Raw genomic sequence first — 12,570 nt, 5'->3', positions numbered from 1 at the left:
TCCAGAGCAAGAAATGTGTCCTTCCCAGATTAGGGATGCACAGTTCTGGCACCTTCTTTAAAGGTTGGCATCACAGAATTCTACTCCCGATGCCACAGATGTTTGTCAGCATTTTCCATTCACGTCTGCTTTCTTGTATTCTCTTTTAACTGAAAAATGTGAAAACTGTATAATTAAATAATTGTCGCAAATGAAACATACAACCTGTACCATACATATGGAGGTGTCAATTTAGAAATGAGAAAGAATACATATAAATGAGAATCCTCTACCTCTTTCTAAAAATTTAAAGCACAGTCGGAAATAGAATGAGAAAATACCATCATAACTGGAGTAGGAGTAACATGCAAGCCAATAAAATCTCCCAACATCCTTTACTATTACTAGGAATATAACTGCATTGACTTACCTAGAATGACTCAGGAACTTTTTCTTATTGAACTTTTAAAAAAGAAGTTTAAGTACTATTCTTTTTTTTTTTTTTTTGAAACAGAGTCTCACTCTGTCACCCAGGCTTGAGTGCAGTGACACGATCTTGGCTCACCGCAACTTCCACCTCCCGGGTTCAAGCAATTCTCATGTCTCAGGCTCCTGAGGGACTGAGATTACAGGCCTGTGCCACCACGCCAGGCTATTTTTTTTGTATTTTTAGTAAAGATGGGGTTTCACTATGTTGGCCAGACTGGTCTTGAACTCTTGACCTCAAGTGATCTGCCCACCTCGGCCTCCCATGCTGAGATTACAGGCATGAGCCACCAAATGCGGCCTATTCTTATTTAAGTTTCATCCCACGTGCTCTACTGAAAGAATCAGAAATAGCTTACTGATCTATGTAAGTACAAAGACACAATAATATATTACACAAGGCAGGTGGCACAGATTTTTCCTGAAGTCATATGTACTTGCAGTCCCCCGACTAAGGCGAGTTGGAGCCCCTTGGTAAAAGCACTAGATTCTAAGTTTTCTCGTCTGCTAAAGCAAATTGAAAACCCCACAAAAAATAAACAAATTCATCTCTATCTAGTGTTAGGATTTTCAACATTGCTCACATTTTTGAAAATAAGTAAGTGGTACGTGTGTCACAAAACTCAAAAGGACAAAGAGCCAAAGTTTATCTCCCTTGTCACGTATTCCCTCACCAAAGACAACCACAGCCAGTGATTTTTGCCTATCTTTCCAGAGGTAGTCTATGCTTATAGAAGTGCAGAAATAAAAGGTCTCTCTTCCCCCACCTCCTTTCCTCTCTGTTATCTCGGTATGGTTGCATTTGCAAGAATCACATCCCAGTTAATCTGTAAATTTCACGCACCCGATTCTGCCTTCCCTGGGACTGGATCTACAGTCTAGGGGTCTCCCATGATGTGTATGGGGAGGGGTCCAGACAGAGGCCCAGATTGTCACGGGTCCTCCTGGGTCACTGCTGAAACATCCCTCATCCTGCCCCAATGGGACCACATGGTCTGCCAGGCTCAGTGGCTCTTTCTGATGCCCCTTAGCCATGTTGTGAGGCTGCCCAAGGCCCCAGCTGCCTGACCTTCCCGTGGGCCTTCCCCACTCCCACCTAAGCCCCCTGACCACCCTGGGTTCTCTAGGAAGAGTGGAGAGCAGGAACCCTCTCAGTGGGATCCTCTGCACCCACATCCACCCCTTTCCTCACCTTCCTCTTCCTTCCTCAGCCCCCAGGGAACTCTTTCAAGTTTAATGGAAGGAGACCTTCTAAACATTTTTCCTGAATTGGGAGTCCCTTGCATTCCCCTAACACATTTTATTTTATTTTATTTTATTTTATTTTTATTTTTATTTTTGAGACAGGGTCTCGCTCTCTCACCCAGGCTGGAGTGCAGTGGTGTGATCTCGGCTCACTGCAACCTCCAGCTCCTGGGCTCAAGTGATCCTCCCACCTGAGCCTCCGTAGTAGCCGGAACTACAAGCATGAGCCACAATGCCTGGCTTATTTTTGTATTTTTTGGCGGACAGGGTTTCACCATTTTGGCCAGGCTGGTCTCAAACTCCTGGACTCAAAGGCATCTGCCCACCTCGGCCTCCCAAAGTGCTGGGATTACAGGCGTGAGCCACTACACTAGGCACCCACTAACACTTTTTTTTATGAAAACCAAAGCCAGAGGAGCCTTGCAGTTCTTTTCTGCCTTGTCACATTCCTCTAAGCAGGAGATCTACTTACTTTCTGAGAGGAGCAGGGGAACAGAGCATGTTACCGATTCACTCCCGACACGGCCCTCAGAGCCCTGCATCTTCCAGGTCCTACCAGCTCACAGCCTGCGCCGCAGCCACACTGCTCTTTCACAGGCCCTTGTACTCACCGGGCTCCTCGTGCCACAGGGCCTTTCCTCATGCTGTTCCCACTACCTGCAGGACTCTTCTCCTCTTGTCTAGGAATTAACCCCTTTCAACCCAAGTGTCACTTTCTCAGGAGCCTTTCTGTGCCTATTTGTTCCTTTTAAAAATATTATACGGCACAGCTACCTCTCCTAGTAGCCATGGTCCCAGCTGACACTATTCATGTTCTTGCCTCCATCTAGGCTGAAGCTCCATAAACACAGACTCTCTGGCTTTGGTATCATTCTTGCCTAGGTGAGTACCTGCACTCAAATGAATGCTGAGCTGAATGAATGAATAGATTTAGGCACTCGATAAATAAATGCTGAATGAATGAATGAATGAATGAGTGAACGAATGTGCTCCACTGCCTCCTTTTTCCTTACCTCTCTGTTCTTCTCTCTGTGAGCCCATCTGATTTAGATTTTATATCTATTATCTATGAATGAAATATATGTTTTCTCCTGGGCATTAAAATAATCTTCCACATTACATCTCTTTAAACCTGCCATCTTAGCCACTCAGGGAAGTAGCTATTCAGGGACTTCTTGCTAAATTTTTGACTTGTTATTTGGTTCATTTGTGGTTATTGTAATTAGTCCCTTTCAAATCATTTTCATCTTTTCTTTTTACTAAACCTTTGTTTTAAATATGAACCAGGCATTTCCGCCAGATATTTTGAATACTTTTTGACCTCACATTAGCCTGCAGTCTTATGGTCATGGGAATGAGAGATCTGAATTGCACGCAGTTTGCAGCTAAAGGAAACCACCTTTTGAGTTGAGTCTGGCAGATCTCGCAGTTAAACACAATGAACAGCCTGCTTTGTTTAATGACTGGCAGGCTTGTGAGTCACACTAGAGTAATTAACTGGCTCACTCACCCAGCTGATGAGCACCTTGTCAATGTGGTATCCACTTGCCAGAAATTTCTTTAGTTCTCCAACCAGACGATCCATAAATGTCAACACTCTTCAGAAACCAAAATTATATCACTGAACTGGGGTTGAGGAGACCTTTGGCGAACTTCTAGAAGTCCTGTTAGGCAGGATGTTTAGAGATGGTGGCTCCACAATTTCTATAGGAGAGAGTTAGGAGCAGCAATTGGTTGGAAGACAGGACTTAAAGTTGCTTTGGAGTGGAAAATGTCAAAATGTAATCTCATATAATGGGAAAACCAATTGATGAAGATCATGGCTGAAGACTGAAGGTTCCCATTCCCGATCTCTTGACACCAACAAGTATTTGAGTTCTTGTTATCACTATTTACACCTAATAACAAACTGCTAATTTTTCCTATTTTATTTTTCCTTCTGGAATAATAGTAACTTTTAATAATGGTGTTGCTACTTTAAGCCTTTGGAATTAATCTGCTTAACTCACTTTGCACCATGCCTAGTAGGAAAAAAAGGCTACTTAATAAATACGTCTTGATCATAAAACTATACAGCACTTGATAGATGGGATAGCCATATATAATGCCTTCATATATTTGGAACAAAATATCTTACTTTTGTGCTATTTAAGATTTAGTGCTTTCAAAAATAGTTGGTTTTGCTTTTGTTGTTGTTGTTGTTTTACTGTTTGTATTTTATTAATTTTTCTCTTTCTTCCCCTCTCCTCTCCTCACCTTTCTTCTCTCTCTTCCTCTCTTTCTTTCTCTCTCTGTCTCTCTGGTTGTCTTGGTCTAACAAAACATGGCTGGAAAAAACACTTAAAAGATCCTTTCCTCTTTAGAAATCAACTCATGAAAACCACCTAAGCGAAAAGGTAATATTTTTCAGTTTCAAAAAACAGCCAGACAAAATGTACTGAGAAGTTTCCAGGGCTCCAAAGTACAAAAGATGTCCCATTCAACAGTTAGGCTGTCATTCTCTGAGACGTTTGGTAACATTTCAAGATACATTTAGATCTGCAAATTCATTTTCCAAGAGGATTCACCCAAGAACTGACCTTGCAACTCAGATAAATGGCCACAAGGTGGGGTGAGAGGTACAAACAGGACCAATTGAAGCTGCTGCAAAGTTTCCATGAAATGTTGAATTAATACATTTTATTTTTCCATGACACAATTACCTATTAGACAATAGATCCTACATGGTCCTATTAGATTCTATCTAAACAACCACACTGTATTCTGAAGATTTGCATAAAGGAAGATTAACATGAACCGTAGAAGTATGGCTATTTGTGCACCTACCTTCCCTGACAGATAGGAAACCCCTGAGGCAGGACTATCTCTTCTCATCCTTGTGTTCCTATGGATTGATGGCAGTATAGGAATGGAACCTACCTGCCCTAAAAGGTGTTTGGCAAATGCTCGTGGAATTGAGGTCTTGGTCACCAAGAGGAACCACAGTGTAGCCATCAAATCCTGACATGATCACACCTTTCCCCTCTAATTTCTCTCCTGGGTTTTTCTCTTTGGGGCTGTGTCTTTCCCGACCGACTAGTCAGGTGCTCCCCCAGGCCTTGGCTGTGGGATCCCTGGCTACCGTGAAGAGTGAAAACAATATGAACGTGGCAGTCAGAAGACCTGGAGTAGAGGCCTGCCTGGCAGGACTTTGGTTAAGTGGGTGCAGCTCAAGGACAGAGACTGTGCTGTGCCCCTTTGGCTTTCAATGTGAAAATCCCCCTACAACCAGACACACAGAAAAAAAATCACCATAATAAATACAAGAAGGCCATAGACTGAGACTGGCTGCGTTACTATGACTGGTAAAGTGAGGGCATTGATTAAGACAGAATAGAATCCTGTCCGTTGGATCAGAGATGTGTGGGAAGACCCTGATGAAGCTGGGGACACTGAGACCCTAAATTCTGATGAGTCTTTTCTGCCAGTGAAAGAGACCTCGCAACCATCAGCAAAAGTGGCCTTTGCAAGCCCCAGCAGAAGCGCTGTCCCCAACCCGGGAGATGTGGCCTTCCTACCCAGCAGTGATACCAGCCTTTCTACATCCCTACGAGGGGTTTCACCTTGCATGGCCAGAGGAAATGTGAATGGCCTCCCCTGAGGCAGTTGCCATGCAAGGCAATGCTGATTCTCCTCAGAACCCGCCCCCCTCACCCCTGTTTGCTTCTAGACCTATGACCAGACTCAAGTTCCAGCAGGTTCCTAAAGGTGAGGGTCGACGTGTGGCTTGTGAGGAGCGCACTACACTGCAAAAAACTACTTTATGTTTCCAATTTATACAGACAGAAACCCAGGGAGAGTGTGCAGGGAGGGATATCAAGGGTATGGGATAATGGTAGAAGGAACATCAAGTTGGATCCGGCCAACTGTATTGGTGTGGGCCCACCAAACAGAGATTCTGCGTGCAGTGTTGCACACAGGGAGAGGGAAAGGGCTCTAACAGTTTGCTGGGTTGATTGACTGAAATGTGGGTCAAAAAATGGCCCGCCATGAGCAAACTGAAAATGTCCCATCTCCCTTGATTTAAGGTAGGGGATGGGATTCCAGGGTTTAGGAAGATTGGAATGTCAGAGTGGATTTGCCATTAAAGACCTGCTCACCTCCACTGGGAGGAGCCAGAAGACATACCTGTGGCAAATGCTTTAAAAAATAAACCGGTGATGACAGTCCTTGGAGTGTCCCTGAAGAGTGCTGGGACTGGTCTTCTCTGTAGATCAGAACTTACAGTGGGACCCCAGTCACACAATTTGAAGATCTCAAGGCAATGAGAGTAATTGGATCTCAGGATGGCAGAAGCCAAATGGCAACACTCAATCACCAAAGGCAAGGTGGGCGTGGCCACCGCAACAGGCAGTGCAGGCAAAGCCAGTAATCAGAGTAGCCTGACTCATGCACCCTATCAATTCGCACACACTATCAACTCGCACGCATTATCAACTCGTGCACACTATCAACTCGCGCACAATATCAAATTGTGCACACTATCAACTTGCACACTATCAACTCAATCAACTCGCGCACTAGCAACTCATGCACACACTATCAACTTGCACACTGTTAACTCGTGCACACACTATCAACCTGCAACTATCAACTCGTGCACACTATCAACTTGCACACAATACCAACTCGTGCACACTATCAACTTGCATACTATCAACTCAATCAACTCGTGCACTAGCAACTCATGCACACACTATCAACTCACATGCTATCAACTGACACACTATCAACTCACACACTGTCAACTCGTGCACACACTATCACGTGCACACTATCAACTCGTGCACACTATCAACTCACCCACTATCACCTGGCACAAACTATCAACTCATACACACTATCAACTCACGCACTATCAACTCGCGCACACTATCAACTCACACACACTATCAACTTGTACACACGATCAACTCTTACACACTATTGACTCACACACACTATCAACTCGTGCACACAATTGACTAGTGCATGCTATCAACTGGCACACTATCGACTCACACACACTATCAACTGTTACACATTCACCTCATGCACACTATCGACTCATGCACACTATCAACTGGCACACACTATCAACTCCCGCACACTATCTACTGGCGCACGCTATCAACTCGTGCACGCTATCAACTTGCACACTGTCAACTGGCACACTATTGACTCACGCACACTATTGACTCGTGCACACTAGCACACTATTGGCACTGGCTAGTTGTGGTGCTCCTAGAATTAAAATAGATAGGATGCCTACTAAATTCTGACTTGATTTGTATAGGCAGAAAAGTTTCAGGTCAAGTGAACAAAAGTCTAACTTTAATTATAAAGAGAATCATAGCCTCTCAGTCAATTCCCAGATTTCAGCCAGTTTCTGTAAACCCAGAACCTCTTGAATGAAAGGAAGGCAGGGTCCCCTCAAGGAAGGACCCTGGTATACACCCAAAATGTCACTGTGGTTTCCCCACTCAGAGTATGGGCTTACGGAAGTCAGGGCATCAGTGGAGTCTTAGATTAGGTCCATCTCATAGTGGGGCCAGTGGTTCTTTGAACTTACCCTGTGTTTATTTCCCCATTTCTAGATACATCACTGGACCAGGCAGCAGCTGGCAGAATCACCACATTGGTTCCCTGACCTGTGGAATGAGGGCTTTTTTTTTTTTTGAGATGCCCAGGCTGGAGTGCAGTAGCGTGATTTCGGCTCACTGCAACCTCCACCTCAAGAGTTCAAGTGATTCTCCTGCCTCAGCCTCCCAAATAGCTGGGATTACAGGCACCCCCCACCATGTCCAGCTAAGTTTTTTATTTTTAGTAGAGATGGGGTTTCACCATGTTGGCCAGGCTGATCTTAAACCTTGAACTCCTGACCTCAGGTGATCCACCTGCCTCAGCCTCCCAAAATGTTGGGATTACAGGCATGAGCCACTGAGCCTGGCCAGAATGAGGGCTTTTATGGTAATAAAGGCAAATGGAAGCCGTTAGAACTGTCCTTACCTAGGAAAATGGTAAACCAAAAGCAATACTACAGTCCTGGAGGAAAAGCAGAGATTATTGCCACCATCAATGACTTGAAAGATGCAAAGGTAGTGATTCCCACCATGTCCCCATTTAACTGCTCTAATTGGCCCGTGTAGAAGACAGATGGAGCTTCTAGAATAACAGTAGGATAACATAAGAACCAATGGTGGCTTCAATTGCAGCTGCTGTACCAGATGTGGTTTTATGGCTTGAGCAAATTAACATATCCCTGGTACATGGTATGCAGCTACTGATTTGGCAAATGCCCTTTCTTCCATCCCTGTCCATAAGGCCCACCAGTATCAGTTTGCTTTCAGCTGGCAAGGCCAGCAATGCACCTTTACTCTCCTACTTCAGGACATATCAACTCTCCAGCCCTATTTTATCATTTAGTTCACAGGAATCCTGATTACCTTTCCCTTCAACAGGATATCACACTGGTCCATTACATGATGACATTATGCTGATTGAACCTAGTGAGTGAGAAGTAGCAACTACTCTAGACTTACTGGTAAGACATTTGCATGTCAGAGCGTAGGAAATAAATCTGACTAAAATCCGGGGGCCTTCTTTCTTAATGAAATTGCTAGGGGTGCAGTGGTGTGGGACATATCCCCTCTAAGGTGAAAGATAAGTTGTTGTATCTGGCCCCTCCTACAACCAAGAAAAAGGCACAATGCCTGGTAGGCAAATTTGGATTTGAGAGCCAACATATTCCACATTTGGGTGTGTTACTCCAACCCATTAACAAGTGACCCTAAAGGCTGCTGGTTTTGAGTGGGGTCCAGAACAGGAGAAGGCCCTGCAACAGGTCCAGGCTGCCATGCAACCTGCTCTGCCACTTGTGCCATATGATCCAGCAGATAAAATGATGCTTGAGGTGTCGATGGCACACAGGGATGCTGTTTGGAGTCTTTGGCAGGGCCCTGTAAATCAATCTTATGGAAGCCTTTAGGATTTTGGAGCAAGGCCCTGCCATCCATGGATAACTACCCTCGTTTTGAGAAACAGCTCTTGGCCTGCTACTGGGCCTTAGTAAAAACTGAACACTTGACCGTGAGCCACCAAGTTCCCATGCAATCTGGGCTCTCCATCATGAACTGGCTGACATTGGACCTAACAAGCCATAAAGTTAGGCATGCACAGCAGCACTCCATCATCAAATGGAAGGGGTATATACATACCAGGGCCTGAGCAGCCCCTACAGACACAAGTAAGTCCATCACAGGGAAGAGACTTGGACCTGGTTTACAGGTGGTTTTGCACAATACGCAGGCACCACTTGAAAGTGGGCAGTAATGGCAGCATGACAGCAGCCCCTTTCTGGAACATTGCTGAAGGACAATAGTGAGGGAAATCTTCCCCATGGGCAGAAGTCTGGACAGAGCATATGGTTGTGCACTTTGGTTGGAAGGAGAAATAGCCAGACACGTGATTATATACTGATTCATGGGCTGTAGCCAATGGTTTGGCTGGATGGTCAGGGAATTGGAAGGTACATGACTGGAAAATTGGTAACCAAGACATCTGGGAAAGAGGTGTGTAGATAGACCTCTCTTAATGGGCAAGAAAAAAAAAAATGTGAAGACACTTGTGCCTCATGTAGATGTTCACCAAAGCACCAAAGGGTGACCAAAGACTTAATAATCAGGTGGATAAGATAACACATTCTATGAATACAAGTCAGCCTCTTTCCCCAGCCACTCCATCATCACCCAATGGGCTCATGAACAAAGGGAACATGGTGGCAGGGATGGAGGTTATGCGTGGGCTCAGCAACATGGACTTCCACTCACCAGGGCTAACCTGGCTATGGTCACCTCTGAGTGCCCAATCTGCCAGCAATGGAGATCAGCATCAAGCTCCCAGTATGGCATCATTCCCTGGGGCTGATCAGCCAGCTGCCTGGTGGCATGTTTGTTACATTGGACCATTTTCATCATGGAAGGGCAGCATTTTGTTCTTACTGAAATTGACAGTTACTCTAGATATGGATTTTCCTTCCCTGCACATAATGCTTCTGCCACAGCTACCATCCATGAACTTTCAGAATGCTTTATCCACTGTCATGGTATTCCACACAACATTTCTTCTATTCAAGGAACTCACCACACATCGAAAGAGATAGAACAAAGGGCCCATGCTCCAAGAATTCACTTTCTGACCATGTTCCCCACCATCCTGAAGCAGCTGGCTTAATAGAACAGTGGAATGGCCTTTTATAGACTCAGTTACTGGTAGGCGTTTTGAACCTATTCTGGTTCAGGAGTATGACTGGATAAAAAATAACAACAATAATAATTTTTTTAAAAAAAAGACTCAGTTATAGCATCAGGTAGGAGGTAATACCTTGCACAGCCTGGACAAGGTTCTCCAGATGGCTGTATATGCATGGAACCAGCATCTAATATATGGTTCTATTTCTCCCACAGCCAGGATTCACAGGTCCAGGAATGAAGGGGTGGAAATGATAGTGGCACCACTGACTATTAACCCTAGTGACCCACTAGCAAAGATTTTTGCTTCTCGTTCCCAAGGATTTATGCTCGCTGCTTGCCTAGAGGTCTTAGTTCCAGAAGGAGAAATGTTTCCACCAGCAGACACAAGTTCATTGAACTGGAAATTAAGACTGCCATTCAGCCACTTTGGACTCCTCGTGCCTCTGGGTCAGCAGGCTAAGAGAGGAGTAATGATGCTGGCTGGGGTGATTGATCTGCACTGCCAAGAGGAAATCAGACTGCTACTTCAACATGGACATAAGAAAGAGTATGTCTAGAATGCAAAAGGTCCCTTAGTGTGTCTCTTAGTATTAAGGTCAACGGAAACTACAGCAACCCAATTCAGGCAGGGCTATAAATGGCCCAGATCCTTCACGAATGAATATTTGGGTCACTCCACCAGGTGAAGAATCATTACCAGGTGAAGTGTTTGCTGAAGGCTTAGGGAACACAAAATGGGCAGTAAAAGAAAGTAGTTATAAACACCAGCTATGACCACGTGACCAGTTACAGAAAGGACTGTCATTTTCATGAGTATTCCTCCTTATTTTGTTCCCAATATGTTTGTGTGTATATATATATACACCTATATGAAGTAAATATCTTTATTTTCTTTCCTCTTATTCCCTTATCATGTAACATAAGATGTATTGACTTTATATCAGTATTGAAGTATTGTTAATTTTACATCATATTATTGAAGTTACAGGATATCCAAAGAGTAAAGTTTATGCAAGAACTTTACCTCCTCTTCCAGGGAAGGGATTAGTGAGTTTCAGTTGCAAGCAGGATAGTTGTATCATTGTGGGATAAATTATGACCTTGTTATTGTCTTTATTTGGAGATTAATTATGTTTTAAGGGACATATGGGTGTCAGGTTGATAAGAGGTGGATTTGTAATGGTTAATTTTATTTGTCAACTTGATTGTGTTAAGGAATGTCCAGAAAACTGGTAAAGCCTTATTTCTGGGTGCGTCTGTGAGGATGTTTTCAAAGCAGATGAGCATTTGAATCAGTGGACTGAGTGAAGAAGATCTGCCCTCACCAATGTCGAATTCACTGAGGGCCTGAATAGAACAAAAAAGCCAGAGAAAGGCACATTTTCACTCTCTCCCCTTGAGCTGGGACATCAGTGTTCTCCCGCCTTCTTCCTAACTGAAGCCTTTGGACTCAGTCTGAATTACTCCATTGACCTTCCTGGGTCTCTAATTTGCAGATTATATGTCATGGCAATTCTTAGCCTCCACGATTGCATGAGCCAATTCTCATAATAAACCTCATCTTATTGTTTTCGTTTCTCTGGAAAACCCTGACAAATATATATATATTTCTGTTAAGAGTCTACAACTCTTGTTCTCCCCCTGAGTCTCCACCACTACCTAATAGAAGAAATTGTTAACATTCCAGTCCAGTTCAACGGCGATTTGATCCAATAACAAAGAATCTTGCTATTCAAAGTGAGGCCTGAGCCCAGTGGCACCAGCCTCAGCTGGGGGCTGGCCAGTCTCAGGCCCCACTGTAGACCTACTGAATCCAAATCTGCATTTTGTAAGATCTCCGGGTGGCCTTCATGCAACTGGAACTTTGAAAGGCACTGAGCCAGGGCCTCCAGGGCAGGGTTCAGTCTCTGATAAAAATGCTAGGTCTCTCAGGCAGTGTCCTCCTCCTCTGCCTCTCCCTTTGATCCTGGGCCTCTCTGGCCGGTGGGGCTTCAGGGCTGAAGACTATCACTTACTCAGTGCGGTAGACCTACCAGAGGCCTGGCAAAACTCCCACTTAGCCTAGTTTGTGGTCCTTTGGCACAGGCTTTATGCTGCCCAGAAATAGAGCTTTCCTCTGGCAGCGCCCTCAGCCTGAGTCCCAGCTACTTTTGGGCCCTGCACAAGCCACGTCAGGACCTCAGGCATCCTGGTAAAATGATTCCTGAGAGCCTGCATCTGACTACTGGGGTTCTGACTGACTTATCTGTGACATCCCTTTGCCTGGTGTGGCAGTGGCTTGGATATCAGCCACTCCAGGCCCCTAAATTAGTCAGAGGGCAAGATCAACTACTTTTAAGTAGCCCTTAACTTATCCAAAATATCTTCTCCATGGCCAAAACCCAGAGAGGGGAAGTCAAGAGGCACACAGCAGAAAGCTTCCTCCTTGCTTTCCTGCTGTCCGTTTCAAACCCTCTCTATTAGTCTACTCTCAAGCTGCTAATAAAGACATACATGAGACTGGATAATTTACAAAGAAAAGAAGTTGAATGGACTCACAGTTCTACATGGCTGGGGAGCCCTCACAATCATGGCAGAAGGTGAATGAAGA

At 44.5% G+C, this 12,570-nt stretch overlaps 1 annotated feature.

The window, feature by feature from the left end:
- Positions 4,167–4,461: a silencer, noted in NCBI's record as "tiled region #1657; HepG2 Repressive non-DNase unmatched - State 12:CtcfO". NCBI's record gives its function as "represses a minimal TATA promoter and a strong SV40 promoter by Sharpr-MPRA in HepG2 cells {active_cell/tissue: HepG2}" and the evidence as "EXISTENCE:reporter gene assay evidence [ECO:0000049][PMID:27701403]".

The sequence above is a fragment of the Homo sapiens genome, chromosome 6, assembly GCF_000001405.40.
Source record: "Homo sapiens chromosome 6, GRCh38.p14 Primary Assembly".
NCBI lineage: Eukaryota > Metazoa > Chordata > Mammalia > Primates > Hominidae > Homo > Homo sapiens.
Note: the sequence above shows the minus strand (reverse complement) of the source record. Positions and strands in the feature narration are given on the sequence as shown.